This window comes from Homo sapiens, chromosome 10 (assembly GCF_000001405.40).
Source record: "Homo sapiens chromosome 10, GRCh38.p14 Primary Assembly".
NCBI lineage: Eukaryota > Metazoa > Chordata > Mammalia > Primates > Hominidae > Homo > Homo sapiens.
The window spans coordinates 99,808,440-99,828,815 of record NC_000010.11 but is presented as its reverse complement, the minus strand read 5'-3'; the positions used below and the strand labels follow the sequence as shown (position 1 = coordinate 99,828,815).

Here is a 20,376-nt window from a genome sequence, read left to right as displayed (position 1 = left end):
AATTGCTGGAGTGCTGAAGACATGCTCCCCACCACCCACAACACACACACAGAACCTCTCAGCAAAGGCTGAGACACTTATTGTTTCAAAGCAATTAAGGGAGTATCTGTCTAATCACTAGCTGACCACTAAGCCAACCAAACAGACTTCAGTGGTCACACATGACAATGACAAAGAATACAGACTTAACAGAATTAGTTCAGGAAATGAAACAAACATATAGGAAGAACAACCACAACAAACAGCAACAACAAAGATCACCAAACCACCGGAAACTAGGCGAGAGGCCTTGAACAGATTATTGCCTAACACCTTAAGAAAGAACTAATCCTGCTGACACCTTGATTTTGCCCTTCTAGCCTCCAGAAATGTGTGGCCATTCAGTTTGTGATGTGTTGTTAAGGCAGCTAATTAGGAAACTCATACACAGAACCAATCTCAGTGCAGCTCACCTTGCCCTCCTGCCCTTCTCTTCATTCCACCAAGTCCCAGATCCCAGGGCCAACACAGCAGCATCCTAGGCTCTGGAGCTTACAAAACTGCTCAGAAATGTTCTCTCAGTGTTCACCAGAAAAAGGGCTTACGGGGATGTTTTGCAAACTGTTCTTTGTACATTAAAGACAGGATTCTTCAAAGGAGAAGTGGTTTATAACAGAATCCAGAAACTCAGATCCAGGCTAATCAGAAAAAAATGTTTACCATTAGTATGGGAAAACTGCCCAATTTTCTTACGGTAACCATGGTGATGTGGTTGACTGAGCAATAACTCAGAGAACTCTAGCATTAGACACTGTTCTTTCCTTGGGAACTTCACCCTCCATTCCAGGCAGGTGTGGAGGGGCAACCCACCCCTTCATCTGGTGCCCAACGTGGAGGCTTTTCTCTAGGGTGAAGGTACGCTCGAGCGTGGTCATTGAGCACAAGTCGACGAGAGATCCCGAGTACATATACAGTCAGCCGTACGGTAAGCTTGTGAGCTCGGAAGAAGCTAGGGTAATAATGGGGCAAACTAAAAGTAAAATTAAAAGTAAATATGCCTCTTATCTCAGCTTTATTAAAATTCTTTTAAAAAGAGGGGGAGTTAAAGTATCTACAAAAAAATCTAATCAAGCTATTTCAAATAATAGAACAATTTTGCCCATGGTTTCCAGAACAAGGAACTTTAGATCTAAAAGACTGGAAAAGAATTGGTAAGGAACTAAAACAAGCAGGTAGGAAGGGTAATATCATTCCACTTATAGTATGGAATGATTGGGCCATTATTAAAGCAGCTTTAGAACCATTTCAAACAGAAGAAGATAGCGTTTCAGTTCCTGACGCCCCTAGAAGCTGTATAGTAGATTGTAATGAAAAGACAAGGAAAAAATCCCAGAAAGAAATGGAAAGTTTACATTGCGAATATGTAGCAGAGCCGGTAATGGCTCAGTCAACGCAAAATGTTGACTATAATCAATTACAGGAGGTGATATATCCTGAAACGTTAAAATTAGAAGGAAAAGGTCCAGAATTAGTGGGGCCATCAGAGTCTAAGCCACGAGGGCCAAGTCCTCTTCCAGCAGGTCAGGTGCCCGTAACACTACAACCTCAAACGCAGGTTAAAGAAAATAAGACCCAACCGCCAGTAGCTTATCAATACTGGCCGCCAGCCGAACTTCAGTATCGGCCACCCCCAGAAAGTCAGTATGGATATCCAGGAATGCCCCCAGCACCACAGGGCAGGGCGCCATACCCTCAGCCGCCCACTAGGAGACTTAATCCTACGGCACCACCTAGTAGACAGGGTAGTGAATTACATGAAATTATTGATAAATCAAGAAAGGAAGGAGATACTGAGGCGTGGCAATTCCCAGTAACGTTAGAACCGATGCCACCTGGAGAAGGAGCCCAAGAGGGAGAGCCTCTCACAGTTGAGGCCAGATACAAGTCTTTTTCGATAAAAATGCTAAAAGATATGAAAGAGGGAGTAAAACAGTATGGACCCAAATCCCCTTATATGAGGACATTATTAGATTCCATTGCTCATGGACATAGACTCATTCCTTATGATTGGGAGATTCTGGCAAAATCGTCTCTCTCACCCTCTCAATTTTTACAATTTAAGACTTGGTGGATTGATGGGGTACAAGAACAGGTCCGAAGAAATAGGGCTGCCAATCCTCCAGTTAACATAGATGCAGATCAACTATTAGGAATAAGTCAAAATTGGAGTACTATTAGTCAACAAGCATTAATGCAAAATGAGGCCATTGAGCAAGTTAGAGCTATCTGCCTTAGAGCCTGGGAAAAAATCCAAGACCCAGGAAGCGCCTGCCCCTCATTTAATACAGTAAGACAAGGTTCGAAAGAGCCCTACCCTGATTTTGTGGCAAGGCTCCAAGATGTTGCTCAAAAGTCAATTGCCAATGAAAAAGCCCGTAAGGTCATAGTGGAGTTGATGGCATATGAAAACGCCAATCCTGAGTGTCAATCAGCCATTAAGCCATTAAAAGGAAAGGTTCCCGCAGGATCAGATGTAATCTCAGAATATGTAAAAGCCTGTGATGGAATCAGAGGAGCTATGCATAAAGCTATGCTTATGGCTCAAGCAATAACAGGAGTTGTTTTAGGAGGACAAGTTAGAACATTTGGAGGAAAATGTTACAATTGTGGTCAAATTGGTCACTTAAAAAAGAATTGCCCAGTCTCAAATAAACAGAATATAACTATTCAAGCAACTACAACAGGTAGAGAGCCACCTGACTTATGTCCAAGATGTAAAAAAGGAAAACATTGGGCTAGTCAATGTCGTTCTAAATTTGATAAAAATGGGCAACCATTGTCGGGAAACGACCAAAGGGGCCAGCCTCAGGCCCCACAACAAACTGGGGCATTCCCAATTCAGCCATTTGTTCCTCAGGGTTTTCAGGGACAACAAACCCACTGTCCCAAGTGTTTCAGGGAATAAGCCAGTTACCACGATACAACAATTGTCCCCCGCCACGAGCGGCAGTGCAGCAGTAGATTTATGTACTATACAAGCAGTCTCTCTGCTTCCAGGGGAGCCCCCACAAAAAATCCCCACAGAGGTATATGGCCCACTGCCTGAGAGGACTGTAGGACTAATCTTGGGAAGATCAAGTCTAAATCTAAAAGGAGTTCAAATTCATACTGGTGTGGTTGATTCAGACTATAAAGGCGAAATTCAGTTGGTTATTAGCTCTTCAATTCCTTGGAGTGCCAGTCCAGGAGACAGGATTGCTGAATTATTACTCCTGCCATATATTAAGGGTGGAAATAGTGAAATAAAAAGAACAGGAGGGTTTGGAAGCACTGATCCGACAGGAAAGGCTGCATATTGGGCAAGTCAGGTCTCAGAGAACAGACCTGTGTGTAAGGCCATTATTCAAGGAAAACAGTTTGAAGGGTTGGTAGACACTGGAGCAGATGTCTCTATCATTGCTTTAAATCGGTGGCCAAAAAATTGGCCTAAACAAAAGGCTGTTACAGGATTTGTCGGCATAGGCACAGCCTCAGAAGTGTATCAAAGTACTGAGATTTTACATTGCTTAGGGCCAGATAATCAAGAAAGTACTGTTCAGCCAATGATTACTTCAATTCCTCTTAATCTGTGGGGTCGAGATTTATTACAACAATGGGGTGCGGAAATCATGCCCGCTCCATTATATAGCCCCACGAGTCAAAAAATCATGACCAAGATGGGATATATACCAGGAAAGGGACTAGGAAAAAATGAAGATGGCATTAAAGTTCCAGTTGAGGCTAAAATAAATCAAGAAAGAGAAGGAATAGGGTATCCTTGTTAGGGGCAGCCACTGTAGAGCCTCCTAAACCCATACCATTAACTTGGAAAACAGAAAAACCGGTGTGGGTAAATCAGTGGCCGCTACCAAAACAAAAACTGGAGGCTTTACATTTATTAGCAAATGAACAGTTAGAAAAGGGTCACATTGAGCCTTCGTTCTCGCCTTGGAATTCTCCTGTGTTTGTAATTCAGAAGAAATCAGGCAAATGGCGTATGTTAACTGACTTAAGGGCCGTAAACGCCGTAATTCAACCCATGGGGCCTCTCCAACCCGGGTTGCCCTCTCTGGCCATGATCCCAAAAGACTGGCCTTTAATTATAATTGATCTAAAGGATTGCTTTTTTACCATCCCTCTGGCGGAGCAGGATTGCGAAAAATTTGCCTTTACTATACCAGCCATAAATAATAAAGAACCAGCCACCAGGTTTCAGTGGAAAGTGTTACCTCAGGGAATGCTTAATAGTCCAACTATTTGTCAGACTTTTGTAGGTCGAGCTCTTCAACCAGTTAGAGACAAGTTTTCAGACTGTTATATTATTCATTATATTGATGATATTTTATGTGCTGCAGAAACAAAAGATAAATTAATTGACTGTTATACATTTCTGCAAGCAGAGGTTGCCAATGCAGGACTGGCAATAGCATCTGATAAGATCCAAACCTCTACTCCTTTTCATTATTTAGGGATGCAGATAGAAAATAGAAAAATTAAGCCACAAAAAATAAAAATAAGAAAAGACACATTAAAAACACTAAATTATTTTCAAAAATTGCTGGGAGATATTAATTGGATTCGGCCAACTCTAGGCATTCCTACTTATGCCATGTCAAATTTGTTCTCTATCTTAAGAGGAGACTCAGACGTAAATAGTAAAAGAATGTTAACCCCAGAGGCAACAAAAGAAATTAAATTAGTGGAAGAAAAAATTCAGTCAGCGCAAATAAATAGAATAGATCCCTTAGCCCCACTCCAACTTTTGATTTTTGCCACTGCACATTCTCCAACAGGCATCATTATTCAAAATACTGATCTTGTGGAGTGGTCATTCCTTCCTCACAGTACAGTTAAGACTTTTACATTGTACTTGGATCAAATAGCTACATTAATTGGTCAGACAAGATTACGAATAATAAAATTATGTGGAAATGACCCAGACAAAATAGTTGTCCCTTTAACCAAGGAACAAGTTAGACAAGCCTTTATCAATTCTGGTGCATGGCAGATTGGTCTTGCTAATTTTGTGGGAATTATTGATAATCATTACCCAAAAACAAAGATCTTCCAGTTCTTAAAATTGACTACTTGGATTCTACCTAAAATTACCAGACGTGAACCTTTAGAAAATGCTCTAACAGTATTTACTGATGGTTCCAGCAATGGAAAAGCAGCTTACACAGGGCCGAAGGAACGAGTAATCAAAACTCCACATCAATCGGCTCAAAGAGCAGAGTTGGTTGCAGTCATTACAGTGTTACAAGATTTTGACCAACCTATCAATATTATATCAGATTCTGCATATGTAGTACAGGCTACAAGGGATGTTGAGACAGCTCTAATTAAATATAGCATGGATGATCAGTTAAACCAGCTATTCAATTTATTACAATAAACTGTAAGAAAAAGAAATTTCCCATTTTATATTACTCATATTCGAGCACACAGTAATTTACCAGGGCCTTTGACTAAAGCAAATGAACAAGCTGACTTACTGGTATCATCTGCATTCATAAAAGCACAAGAACTTCATGCTTTGACTCATGTAAATGCAGCAGGATTAAAAAACAAATTTGATGTCACATGGAAACAGGCAAAAGATATCGTACAACATTGCACCCAGTGTCAAGTCTTACACCTGCCCACTCAAGAGGCAGGAGTTAATCCCAGAGGTCTGTGTCCTAATGCATTATGGCAAATGGATGTCACGCATGTACCTTCATTTGGAAAATTATCATATGTTCATGTAATAGTTGATACTTATTCACATTTCATATGGGCAACTTGCCAAACAGGAGAAAGTACTTCCCATGTTAAAAAAACATTTATTGTCTTGTTTTGCTGTAATGGGAGTTCCGGAAAAAATCAAAACTGACAATGGACCAGGATATTGTAGTAAAGCTTTCCAAAAATTCTTAAGTCAGTGGAAAATTTCACATACAACAGGAATGCCTTATAATTCCCAAGGACAGGCCATAGTTGAAAGAACTAATAGAACACTCAAAACTCAATTAGTTAAACAAAAAGAAGCAGGAGACAGTAAGGAGTGTACCACTCCTCAGATGCAACTTAATCTAGCACTCTATACTTTAAATTTTTTAAACATTTATAGAAATCAGACTACTACTTCTGCAGAACAACATCTTACTGGTAAAAAGAACAGCCCACATGAAGGAAAACTAATTTGGTGGAAAGATAATAAAAATAAGACATGGGAAATAGGGAAGGTGATAACGTGGGGGAGAGGTTTTGCTTGTGTTTCACCAGGAGAAAATCAGCTTCCTGTTTGGATACGCACTAGACATTTGAAGTTCTACAATGAACCCATCGGAGATGCAAAGAAAAGCACCTCCGCGGAGACGGAGACACCACAGTCGAGCACCGTTGACTCACAAGATGAACAAAATGGTGACGTCAGAAGAACAGATGAAGTTGCCATCCACCAAGAAGGCAGAGCCGCCAACTTGGGCACAACTAAAGAAGCTGACGCAGTTAGCTACAAAATATCTAGAGAACACAAAGGTGACACAAACCCCAGAGAGTATGCTGCTTGCAGCCTTGATGATTGTATCAACGGTGGTAAGTCTCCCTATGCCTGCAGGAGCAGCTGCAGCTAACTATACCTACTGGGCCTATGTGCCTTTCCCGCCCTTAATTCGGGCAGTCACATGGATGGATAATCCTATAGAAGTATATGTTAATGATAGCGTATGGGTACCTGGCCCCACAGATGATCGCTGCCCTGCCAAACCTGAGGAAGAAGGGATGATGATAAATATTTCCATTGGGTATCGTTATCCTCCTATTTGCCTAGGGAGAGCACCAGGATGTTTAATGCCTGCAGTCCAAAATTGGTTGGTAGAAGTACCTACTGTCAGTCCCATCAGTAGATTCACTTATCACATGTCTGCAGGTGTACCCAACAGCTCCGAAGAGACAGCGACCATCGAGAACGGGCCATGATGACGATGGCGGTTTTGTCGAAAAGAAAAGGGGGAAATGTGGGGAAAAGCAAGAGAGATCAGATTGTCACTGTGTCTGTGTAGAAAGAAGTAGACATGGGAGACTCCATTTTGTTATGTACTAAGAAAAATTCTTCTGCCTTAAGATTCTGTGACCTTACCCCCAACCCCGTGCTCTCTGAAACATGTGCTGTGTCAAACTCAGGGTTAAATGGATTAAGGGTGGTGCAAGATGTGCTTTGTTAAACAGATGCTTGAAGGCAGCATGCTCGTTAAGAGTCATCACCACTCCCTAATCTCAAGTACCCAGGGACACAAAAACTGCGGAAGGCCGCAGGGACCTCTGCCTAGGAAAGCCAGGTATTGTCCAAGGTTTCTCCCCATGTGATAGTCTGAAATATGGCCTCGTGGGAAGGGAAAGACCTGACCGTCCCCCAGCCCGACACCCGTAAAGGGTCTGTGCTGAGGAGGATTAGTATGAGAGGAAGGCATGCCTCTTGCAGTTGAGACAAGAGGAAGGCATCTATCTCCTGCCCGTTCCTGGGCAATGGAATGTCTCGGTATAAAACCCGATTGTATGTTCCATCTACTGAGATAGGGAAAAACCGCCTTAGGGCTGGAGGTGGGACAAGCAGGCAGCAATACTGCTTTGTAAAGCATTGAGATGTTTATGTGTATGCATATCTAAAAGCACAGCACTTAATCCTTTACCTTGTCTATGATGCAAAGAACTTTGTTCACGTGTTTGTCTGCTGACCCTCTCCCCACAATTGTCTTGTGACCCTCTCCCCACAATTGTCTTGTGACCCTGACACATCCCCCTCTTCGAGAAACACCCACGAATGATCAATAAATACTAAGGGAACTCAGAGGCTGGCGGGATCCTCCATATGCTAAACGCTGGTTCCCCGGGTCCCCTTATTTCTTTCTCTATACTTTGTCTCTGTGTCTTTTTCTTTTCCAAGTCTCTCATTCCACCTTACGAGAAACACCCACAGGTGTGGAGGGGCAACCCACCCCTTCACAGGTGCTTTTTGTTTTCTCCACGCTACTACCTGGAGCACATAAAGGCTGATGCAAAGCTTTCAATTGCTCCTTTCTGCTGGTCCCTGATACTCCTGCCCCACTCTCCTGGCCTGGCTCCCAATTCCTGTCACCTACACCATCCTGTTCTTTGTTCCCGCCTTCTCCTTCCAAAGCTACAGACTTCCTGATTTAGATTTTTCTTCTGTCTTTTTTGAGCAGAGATGGGGTTTCACTATATAGCCCAGGGTGGTCTCAAACTCCTGGGCTCCAGTGATCCTTCCGCCTTGGCCTCCAAAGGGCTGGGATTACAGGTGTGAACCACCACATCCAGCCCTGGCTTAGATTTTTCTTTCAAACTCTTGGGCTTCTCAGGGTGGTTTTCTTGTTGTTGTTGTGTTTTGTGTGTGTGTGTGTGTGTGAGATGGAGTTTCACTCTTGTTGCCCAGGCTGGAGTGCAATGGCACGATCTCAGCTCACCGCAACCTCTGCCTCCTGGGTTCAAGCAATTCTCCTGCCTCAGCCTCCCAAGCAGCTGGGATTACAGGCATGTGCCACCATGCCCAGCTAATTTTGTATTTTTAGTAGAGACGGGGTTTCTCCATGTTGGTCAGGCTGGCCTCGAACTCCTGACCTCAGGTGATCCACCCGCCTCAGCCTCCCAAAGTGCTGGGATTACAGGCGTGAGCCATCGTGCCTGGCCCTCCCAGGGTGGTTTTAAACCATTACTTGTCCTCACCTCATGGTCAGAACATGCTGTCACTTGTAGGCTGTGTAGCTACTCCCTCATCTGACTGATTTCTGGAATGCCTCTACAGCCTTCTGCCCTGGCTTTCTCGACCTGAACTCCTGCTGGTGACAACCACCTGAGGGTGATAACCAGACCAATGCACAGGACTGCTGTTGGCAGGTCCTTGGGAAGGGTCACAGTAAACAGAGCTCCACTGCTGACTGGGGCTAACTGGTGAACCCAATGGTGGTGATATTAGAGGCTGTTGCTATGGTATACTCTGAGACTACGCAACTGCCATAATTTTTTTCTGGTTCAAACACCCAGTGGTTTTGGTATATTAATCAAAATCCCTTTGTTAGGATCTACCAAGAATTTAGCAGTACACTAATAGTGCCAGCCCATGAAGCTGTCGAGGAAGTGGTTTTAATGGATTTGGGGTAGATGGGATGACATGTGTGACTAGAGTCAATAGGAACATGGCATCCCTAAAAGAGGGACCGTTGTGCCACTGGTGTTTCTTCCACAAGGGTTACTCACTCAGACTTTCAGTTGTACCCTTCTAAAGAGTGTCCTTTGATTGTGTGTCAGACATCAGATGAGCAGGATAAGTCACCAGTTTGGCCCAGGCATAGAGTTTCAATTTCTATGTTTCCTCAAAGAGACACAGAACCCAGAAAGCAGAGTTTGAATCTCTGGGTAGTTTGCTTCCAAATCTAGTTCACTGGATACTGAGCAGTTCAGGAATTAGATATTGATTTACCATTCCACCCATGGCCCAAGTTCTATCTTGTCCCAATCCTTCTTACATACCTGTGGCTTCCTCTTCAGGGCCTGTATGTCTTAGAAATGTCTTCAGATTCTTAGCAAACTCTCCTTTTTTGGCCAGGAGAGCACTGTAGGATCCTTTCTCTACAATTGTTCCATTCCCCAGAACTACAATCTCATCCACTTGAGGAAGAAAGTGCATGCTATGTGTAACCAAGAGTCGAGTCTATAAAAATAATATGAAGTTGTGTTGATTACCATATGTCCACCATCTTCCCTGTCTTACTTGCCAGACATGTCCTCCCCTCTCCCTCCCACCCCACCTTTATATCTTCATCATGTTCAATGATTTCTCACCTTGCCTTTCAACAGGCCATTGGGGCCCAAGACCTTATTAAAAATATGTTTTCCTACATGAGCATCCACTGCAGACAGGGGGTCATCTAGAAGATAGATGTCTAAATTTTGGTAGGTAGCTCTGGCCAGGCTGATCCGCTGCTTCTGACCCCCACTAAGATTTATACCCTGAAGAAGAAAATAATTCATATTAAGCACTACTCCCTAGATCCACCTTCACAGAATCTAATAGGGAGGGGTAAAAGGAAGAAATTTGTCTCAATAAGGTGTCAAGGGGTTAAAAATCTTACAAGTTCCTTTATACAAATAAAGAACTGATTCAAATAAATAACTTTAGTCCTAATAATTAGATATGGCCAACTTACCACTTTTTATCAGATAATTTACTTATTTAATAGTTTTGTTGCTTGTCACCCTGTGACAATGTAGAGCAGAGGTTTTTTCTATTTTGTTCATGGATGTAATTCCAGAACTTAAAACACTGTTTGGCACATAGTAGGTGCTCAATAAGCGTATGCTAATTAATGAACAAAATTACTCCAGAGCTGTATCTTCATTAATCTTCTAACATCTCAAGATTTTTGTTCCCCAAGATTGCTACATTTATTTCTAGTAATGGGGAGGGAGGATGAAAACATCCTAAATATGCAGGGTCTTTATTTAGAGGTTTCAAAATAAATTATGCTAGATCTATATAATAAATACAATACAGTCATTAAAAATCTTTTTTTTTTTGAGATGGAGTCTTGCTCCATCTCCTAGGCTGGAGTGCAGTGGCGCAATCTCAGCTCACTGCAACTTCTGCCTCCCTGGTTCAAGCAATTCTCCTGTCTCAGCCTCCCGAGTAGCTGGGACTACAGGCGCCTGCTACCACACCCGGCTAATTTTTGTATTTTTAGTTGAGATGGGGTTTCACCTTGTTGGTCAGCTGGTCTTGAACTCCTGACCTCAGGTGATCCACCCACCTTGGCCTCCCAAAGTGCTAGGATTATAGGCGTGAGCCACTGTGCCCAACCCTAAAAGTCTATTTTTAGGAAAGGCCTTTAATAACATCAAAAGATAATTCACAATAAACATCTAAGTGTTCAAAGCAGATTAGTAGAATCTTCCTCTGGCCTCACTGATACAGAAGTAGAATCAGGACACCTAGGCTCTGGTCCCACTTCTGCCCCACCACCTGTGAGATCAACCTTGGGCCAGTCACTGTTAACTTCTCATGGCCTTTGCCTCATCATCTTTGATTTAAATTACATAATTCCTGTATCTGTTTCCAAGCAGAAAGTTTGAAATTCTGAGTTATTTACATGGAATATTGTGGCCACTTAGTACAAACACATGATTTCTGGTGTTTATTCCAAATATGACTACCTAAATTAATCAACTAGATTACCCCTGTGTAGTTCTTCACCACCATCCTCACTTTTTCTCTTCAATATGCCTTCACCCTTGAAGATCCCTTGTTATCCCAAGTACCTTCTCTCCAATCTCAGCCAAATCTCCTCCAGGCAGCATTTCCAAGTCTGGGAGGAGAGCACAGGCCTCCAGTACTTGCTGGTACCTCTTTTCATTAAACTCTGTTCCAAAAAGGATGTTGTCCTTTATGGTGCCATTCTGAATCCAGGACTGCTGTGGGACATAGGCAGTGGTGCCCTAGATGAAAAAGGATCAGATCATGTTACAGCTGCACCTCCAGAAACGCAGGGTTGAAGGACGGGGTGGCTGGAGAGGGGAAGAAACAAATGGAGCTTAAATTTAAATAACTGTGCATCAGGATGACTGAGGATCTGATATGTATTCACGTGCTTGTAGTTATTCCACTCTCAGGACTCAATATCCTCTTCACCATTAAAAGCCCCATCCACTTTTGTTGGACTATCGTTTTTCAGCCATGATCCTGAAAATTAGATGATAAATGTGTGTGATGCTTCTAGAAGAGGGTTTTAGTCAAACCCAATTGAGTTTACTAGGACCAACGAAAGGCTAACACTGACAAGGGAATGGTATAGATCAGCGGTCCTCAACTTTTTGGCACCAGGGACCGGTTTTGTGGAAGACAATTTTTCCATAGATGGGGTGGTGGTGGGAGATGGTTTCGGGATGAAACTGTTCCACCTCAGATCATCAGGCAGTAGATGCAACCTAGATCCCTGGCATGTGCAGTTCACAATAGGGTTCATGGTCCTATGAGAATCTAATGCTGCTGCTGATCTGACAGGAGGTGGAGCTCAGGTGATAATGCTCGCTCGCCGCTCACCTTCTCCTGTGTAGCCTGGTTCCCAACAGGCCATGGAACAGTACCAGTCTGAGGCCCACGGGGTTGGGGACCCATGGTATAGATGACATCTTAAGAAGCAAGATTATAACCAAAGAGAGATGGAAACTGGGCGCGGTGGCTCACGCTTGTAATCCCAGCACTTTGGGAGGCCGAAGTGGGCGGATCACCTGAGATCGGGAGTGACCAACCTGGCCAACATGGCAAAACCCCATCTCTGCTAAAAACACAAAAAGTAGCTGGGCTTGGTGGCACAAGTCTGTAATCCCAGCTACTCGGGAGGCTGAGGCAGGAGAATCGCTTGAACCCAGGAGGCAGAGGCTGCAGTGAGCTGAGATTGGGCCACTGCACTCCAGCCTGGGAGACAGAGTGAGGCTCCATCTCAAACAAACAAACAAACAAACAAAAAACAGAGATGGAGGCCGGGCGCGGTGGCTCACGCCTGTAATTCCAGCACACTGGGAGGCTGAGGCAGGTGGATTACGAGGTCAGGAGTTCAAGACCAGCCTGGCCAAGATGGTGAAACCCTGTCTCTACTAAAAATACAAAAATTAGCCGGGCATGGTGGCATGTGCCTGTAATCCCAGCTACTTGGGAGGCTGAGGCAGAGAATTGCTTGAACCCAGGAGGTGGAGGTTGCAGTGAGCCGAGATCACGCCACTGCACTCCAGCCTGGGTGACAGACTGAGACTCCGTCTCAAAAAAAAAAAAAAAAACAAGACCAGAAATGGAGACCAACAAAGGCCTGTGTTTGAGGAAGAACCCAGTTATGAGTTAGCAAGAAAAAAGCTTCCCAAAAGGAGTTAGAAGACAGACTTAAATCTGTAGCCTGCTCTGCTATAGCGCATGTTTTTTAAATTGCAGATTAGTTCATTAGTGATTGCTAAATCAGGAAATGATGTCAGTATATGGTAGAACAGCTGGTTCTTACATTTTTTTGTCAAGCAGGTCAATATAAATCAATTGGAGGAAGCATTCTCATACTTAAAAAGAAACCCTTAGCAATATATATATGAAGATCTTAAGAAAAAAAGCTGAAAATCTATAGATACTCCTCTGTTTGGTACAAGTAGTGATAACAATTCAAAAATAACTATAATTTTCCCTAAATTTAGCTCTCTGGAAAAGTTCAGAGTACTGATGAAGATGCCATGAAAACATTTTCCTCCGTTAAAAAAAAAAGCATAATTAGCCAGTCCCAGTGGCTTACCCATATAATCCCAGCACTTTGGGAGACTGAGGCAGATGGATCACTTGAGGCCAGGAGTTTGAGACCAGCCTGGCCAACATGGCAAAACCCCGCCTCTACTAAAAGTACAAAAATTAGCCGGGCATCATCAATGATAGACTGGATAAAGAAAATGTGGTACATATATACCATGGAATACTATGCAGCCATAAAAAGGAACGAGATCATGTCCTTTGTAGGGACATGGATGAAGCTAGAAGCATCATCCTCAGCAAACTAACACAGGAACAGAAAACCAAACACTGCTTGTTCTCACTTATAACTGGGAGTTGAACAGGGAGAACACATGGATACAGGGAAGGGAACAACACACACCAGGGCCTGTTGGGGAGTGAGGGGCGAGGGGAGGGAACCTAGATGACAGGTCAATAGGTGCAGCAAACCACCATGGCACATGTACACCTATGTAACAAACCTACACGTTCTGCAAATGTATCCTGGAACTTAAAGTAAAAAAAAAAAAAAGTTAGTGGGGCATGGTGGCACACACCTGTAATCCCAGCTATTTGGGAGGCTGAGGCAGGAGAATTGCTTGAACCCAGGAGGTGGAGGTTGCAGTGAGCTGAAATTGTGCTATTGCACTCCAGCCTGAGTGACAGAGTGAGACTCTGTCTCAAAATATATATATACACACACACATATGTGTGTGTGTATATACATACACACACATATATGTGTGTGTATATACATACATATACACATACACACACATATGTGTATATACATGTATACACATATATGTGTATATACACGTGTGTGTATATGTGTATATACACATATGTGTGTGTATATGTGTATATACACATATGTGTGTATATGTGTATATACACATATGTGTGTGTATATGTGTATATACACATATGTGTGTGTATATGTGTATATACACATATGTGTGTGTATATGTGTATATATATGTATATATACACATACACACACATATATGTTTGTGTGTATGTATATACACACATATGTGTGTATGTATATACACACATATGTGTGTATACACATATATGCACACATATATACACGTGTGTATATATACCCATATATGTATATATGTGTATATATACATGTGTGTATACATACGTGTGTATATATACATGTGTGTATACATACGTGTGTATATACATGTGTGTATACATACGTGTGTGTATACATACGTGTGTATACATACGTGTGTATACATACGTGTGTGCATATATACACATGTGTGTATATATACACATGTGTGTATATATACACATGTGTGTATACATACATGTGTGTATATATACGTGTGTATACATACATGTGTGTATATATACACACATATGTGTGTATATACACATATGTGTGTATATATATGTGTATATACACATACACATATATATATACAAAATTGATGAAGAAGACAACACCCTACACCAGATTTTTATTTTGGAAGCAAATGCCATCAAAGATTTAGCTCTCAAAGGAGGAAGAGAAAGGCCCAAGAGTAATTGCAATGTTGGGTGCAAATGCCAGTGATGATTGTACAATCTACTGTTTTTATTGCTCTTGATATTACTGTTATGGTTGGTATTGTTTCTGTTGGTAGTTTGGTTACAAAGTTATATAAGTTTTTAGTGATCTATTACAATTCTTTTCCCCTAGGTCCTGTTATTTTTATTGTACAGTTTTGCAGGATGCATGATTTTTCAGAAACAAATACATAGATAAAGCAGAAATGCCTATACTTTTTTTTTTTTGAGACAGAGTCTCTCTCTGTCACTCAGGCTGGAGTGCAGTGGCATGATCTTGGCTCACTGCAGCCCTCCTGGGCCCAAGTGATTCTCATGCCTCAGCCTCCCAAGTAGCTGGGATAACAGGCACATGCCACCACACCCGGCTAATTTTGTATTTTTAGTAGAGACAGAGTTTCACCATGTTGACCAGGCTGGTCTCGAACTCCTGACCTCAGGTGATCTGCCTGCCTCGGCCTCTCAAAGTGCTGGGATTATAGGCGTGAGCCACCGTGCCTGGCCAGAAATGCCTATATTTTGAAGGAAGACCTCTCTAATCAGCAGTTTTCACACTGTAGTATGCGTATGAGAATCACCTTTAGAGCTCATTAAAAATGCAGATTCCCAAATCTTACCCCCAGCAACTGATTATATAAAGCTGAAATGGGAAGGAGAATCACAGTCCACAAATCTATCGGATGTCTCCAAGACCTCACCTACTAGCCCTCAGTGCCTTCTCCCCAGTGAGGCAAAAGCACGAAGCTGCTGACATTCGGGAGTCAGAGGCTTTTGCATTGGCATTCCCTCTCACCTTGATGGTGATGTGCCCGTGGACATTTTCCATTTCTCCCAGCATGGCTGATATCAAGGAGGATTTCCCAGAGCCGACAGGGCCTATCACAGCCACAAGTTGGCCTGCCATAATGTCCAGGTTCACACTGAAAGACAGGAATGTCTTTGAAGGAGATAGCAGGGGTTGGGTATTGAAGAGTAGTTCAAGTCACTTCTCTGAGTCTCCATGAAGTCTGGTATCAGGAGATTTCCCCTCAAGATTGGAAAATTTGCCTTGGATATACAAGACCCCAAAGTGCTTCTTTAATACTTTTTCTTTTTCTTTTCTTAGCTCTAAAAGGCTAGAGAATGAGCCCTAATGAGCCCTAATTTATCCAACTCATCTATAAGCTGTTTGTGACAAATGTGCATTTCCAATGATAAAATTCTCCTAGAACTAACATGGTTACCCATTGAACAAGACCCTAGTGGGGGCCTGGAGACCTGGCTTGGTTCAAGTCCCAACCCTGACACTGCTGGTCTATGTTATCTTGGAAGGTCACTTCCTTTGGACTAAGGACCCCTCCTTTCTTACTAATGGGATTGGACTAGATTAACATTTCCCAAATTAGGTACTAAATGTGTCACCTGGAACATTTGCTGAAAGTAGATTCCCTGGCCCTTCTCCTAAATATTTGACTGTATCTGGCTGAGTAGGGGCCCACAATGGGATAGGTTCCCGGAAACTGTGTGTGCCAGCCCTGTTATTTGAGTTTCTAGAACATTAGGAACATTAGGAACTTGTTCACAGTCTTTCTGAATCTGCGCATTGAGGTGAATTTCTTCCAGACCTATAACAGTGAAGTGGAAGCCCTGCCCAGTTTCCTCTCTGGAAAGGGAAACTGCTGGGTTAGGAAGGTTCAGAGCATGTGCTCCTGCCCCAACTCATCCTGGGGCTAGCTCTGGAGTCCATGTTAAAGGCTGTAGGAACAAGATAGAGGAGTGGGAAGTCAGGAGTATAGTAAGGAGACAGTAAGATGTGCTCAGTTGTGAAGAAACAAAGATATGGCCTATTCAGCCTCCTGGTGTACTCTGTGTGCTGTGCTCAGTGGATGAATTGGGTGTGCTATTACACATGGTGCTTAAGAGACACACTATGTGCAGAAGATACACACTGAGAAGCCAGATTCCAATGTTCCTGATTGCTATTCTTGAATGAATGAACTTATACTGAATTCAGGTTCTTGGGTTTGTCTTCTACCATACCCAGAGACGCCGGCCACCTGCCAACGCTGCACTACCTCCATCCACAATCTGCACACACAAATGTCTTCATGGGATCACAGCTGGATATTCATGGCCCCATAGTAGGAAAGCAGCATGGCAAATGCAGTTATCAGGGGAAGGGGCTGAGAACCTTTGCTTTCAGCTCATCTCTCCAGGGGTTTATCCTGCACTAGTATCTAACCGAAGACATGCACATAGCTCATTTCCCCATGCATTCTATTACATGGAATTTTCTGAGAATAGGCCAGGCAGTGAGAATGCTAAAGAACATTAGGATGGAAAGAAGGCAACTCACTCTCGGACTGTGGCTTCCGAATCATGTTCCCAGGTAAAGGAGGCCTCAGAAAACTGCATGGCTTTGTCTGTTGAGAAAAAGCCCTCTTTTAGTCCAATGTAGGTCCCCACGTGACTGTCTGCCCTCACGTGTCTCTCTCCGCTTTCTCCATCAGCTCCTAGGATTGTTTCTGCTAAGTGCTGGCTCCTACGCTAACAGGAGGTGAATGAAATCTCCTAGAATGAGACCATGAGACCAGAAGTGGCCTGCATATGAAGTCCTTTTTTTTTTTTTGAGTCATGGTCTCACTTTGTCACCCAGGATGGAGTGCAGTGGTGCAATCTTGGCTGACTGCCGCCTTGACTTTCCGGGCTCAAGAGATTCTCCGACCTCAGCCTCCAGGTAGCTGGGACTACAGGCATGCACCACCATGCCCCGCTAATTTTTGTATTTTTAGTAGAGACAGGGTTTCACCATGTCACCCAGGCTAGTCTCGAACTCTTGGACTCAAGCAATCTGCCCATCTCAGCCTCCCAAAGGGTGAGGATTACAGGTATGAGACACTGCATCCAGCCTAAAGTCCTTTTCTTTTTTTTTTTGAGATGGAGTTTCACTCTTGTTGCCTAGGCTGGAGTGCAATGGCGCAATCTCAGCTCACCACAACCTCTGCCTCCCAGGTTCAAGTGATTCTCCTGCCTCAGCCTCCTGAGTAGCTGGGATTACAGGCATGCACCACCACACTCAGCTAATTTTGTGTTTTTAGTAGAGACAGGGTTTCTCCATGTTGGTCAGGCTTGTCTCGAACTCCTGACCTCAGGTGATCCACCCACCTCGGCCTTCCAAAATGCTGGGATTACAGGCATGAGCCACCGCACCCGGCTAAAGTCCTTTTTTATTCAGAACTCCCAAGCCTACTGGTAGCCCAGATTCCTGACCTATGGATACTCTGGGTATACTCTCAGGCCCTCTGTTGCCCAGTCCCCTTGTATGAATTCCACCTCCATATATAAATCCTCCCCACTATGGATTCCAGTCCTATGCCCACTCTGGCCATGGCTGGCCCCCAATCTTTAAACCTTCAGAATCTGAGTATTCTTTCACTCCAGGCTACCTTCCCAATCCCACACACTTGGCTCTATCCTGACTTCTGCTTTCTGGATCTTTTGCAGGATTCCCTGCTTATCCTCAGAAGAGCTGGCCCAGCTTTACTTAGCAATCTAGTTGAGCAATCTGCTCTAAGTGTAAACATAATTCAAGTAAGAACAGTTTGTATCTTATGCAAGCATAGGCTCAAGACAAATCTCCACACTCTCTCTCAGTTTGCTGCTACTAAGCTCTTGTATTATCAAAATTCTGGCACCAGTACTGCGAATAAGTTTGGGAAGCAACTTCCAAATTTATTTACCAAAATTGCAGTCATGTCGAATGGCAGATGTGTCCAAGTCATCCCCTCCCAAGTACTTCTCTAGCCGCTCTGTGGAAACACTGGCCTAGAGAAGGACACAAAGGATCTCAAGAATTAAAGTCAGTAACGAGCACAAGCAGAGAGATTTTGACTTTGTCGTTAGTCCATGATTTTCTATTTGCCACAGCTGGCATCTCCTAATCTCCACCGAACTCAGCCCCGGAAGCTATCCCACCATAGACAGATGGAAGTGGATGCTCTATTTCAGTCCTTGAGCAAACTCATGGAGTTCAACTCTTCTGCTGTCTCTCTCCAGTCTTCGGCCCTAATTCCAGAAACTACCTCCTGCCTTCTAAGACAAAAAATTAACTTCTATCTGGTTCTGGTAACTAGGCCCCTGGCTTTCTCTTATTTAACTAAGTCTATGCCCTGATGCCCACCCAGCATCCTAACTAAGCCACTCCTGGGAGCCTCTAAAGAGGAACTGGCTATAGCATCAGGGGGACCCTGCACACTTCCACATAGGCCAGATAGCCGAAGCTTAAATGGCAGGTGAGGTAAGTGTTGGCAGAATACCCTGCAGTCCCTGGAACTTGAGAACTTGAGAAGATTTCGAGGCACTTCTACAAGGATGTTTCTCACCTACTTCCCTCTCTTCCAAAGAGGCTGTCATGAGATGGTTTTTCATTGCCACCCAGGCTCTGATGAAGTCTTAGGCTTTCTGCCTGTTCCCTCCTTAGGGTACAGAAGCAGGCTATAGAACCACTTAACTGCTGCATGGATCAGCTCCTCAAAAACAGAGTACCCCACTGCTCACATTGCATCGCCATCTGACCCTTTTGTTTTGATTCGTTTTGTTTTGTTTTGAGATGGAGTCTCACTCTGTCGCCCAGGCTGGAGTGTAAGGGTGCAATCTTGGCTCACTGCAACCTCCACCTCCCAGGTTCAAGTGATTCTCGTGCCTCAGCCTCTCGAGTAGCTGGGACTACAGGTGTGTGCCACCATGCCTGGCTAATTTTTGTTTCTTTAGTAGAGATGGGGTTTCACCATGTTGGCCAGGCTGGTCTCAAACTCCTAACCTCAGGTGATATGCCTGCCTCAGCCTTCCAAAGTGTTGGGATTACAGGTGTGAGCCCAGCCACCATCTGACCCTTTTTGATTCAGTGTCATCCTGAGGACCAGGAATGCAGGGAGCTGATACCTTTGCTGATCTTGCTTTTGCTATTTATGCAATAAATTGTATCTAAAAAGATCCTGTTGCTTCTTTACCTGCCAAATCTGCCAGCTTTTCTTTACACCCTCCAGGACAGGGAGGCCTTCTCTTTCCCATGGTCTGAGCTCTCTGAAGCCAGACACTTAGGGGATAAATGCAAGTCACCACACTCCTGTCATTCAGGCCTTCTCATCAGTCTGCTGCCTGTCCGGTGACCTTCCTCTGCAGATCTGGTACTTGTCGCATATCAGTGACTATGCTCAGTTTTTCAGAACCCAGGTATTCCCTCTGGTCCATCCAAGGTTTCCTGAACTCCAGACTCATTTTCTGATAGCTTGAGGCTCTCAATTTGCATTTGGTTTGACCAACACATGGGTTTATGCAAAGGGAGGGTCTCTCTTCTCCCTTTGGGCCATATTTGCCTAATGCTATCTCAACACCTCAAGAGCCTTGGAGAAATATGAGAGAAACTGGGCTGGGAAATGTTCCCAGTACTAGGACTAAACATAATAATCTCACTAAATGCTTTCACAAGATTGTCTCCCTGTGAGGTAGATGAGATTGGT

General features: G+C 43.6%; 1 protein-coding gene across 7 annotated transcripts in view; it reads right to left on the bottom strand.

Moving 5' to 3' along the window:
* Positions 1-20,376, bottom strand: part of ABCC2 (ATP binding cassette subfamily C member 2) — a 69,955-nt gene that overhangs the window by 23,779 nt on the left and 25,800 nt on the right. For 5 of the 7 annotated variants that reach the window (XR_945604.4, NM_000392.5, XM_047424598.1 and 2 more), the window contains 6 exons: positions 18,598-18,682; positions 17,214-17,280; positions 15,672-15,798; positions 11,332-11,508; positions 9,859-10,026; positions 9,547-9,727 (listed from right to left, as the gene is read on the bottom strand). Coding sequence is in view for 6 of the 7 variants with exons in the window: in NM_000392.5 (NP_000383.2) it covers positions 9,547-9,727; positions 9,859-10,026; positions 11,332-11,508; positions 15,672-15,798; positions 17,214-17,280; positions 18,598-18,682 (805 nt within the window). In the remaining variant the exon portion in view is untranslated. Of the gene's footprint in view, positions 1-9,273; positions 9,389-9,546; positions 9,728-9,858; positions 10,027-11,331; positions 11,509-15,671; positions 15,799-17,213; positions 17,281-18,597; positions 18,683-20,376 lie in introns of those variants that run through there. The other 2 variants (XM_006717631.5, XM_017015675.3) reach the window with 2 other exon arrangements.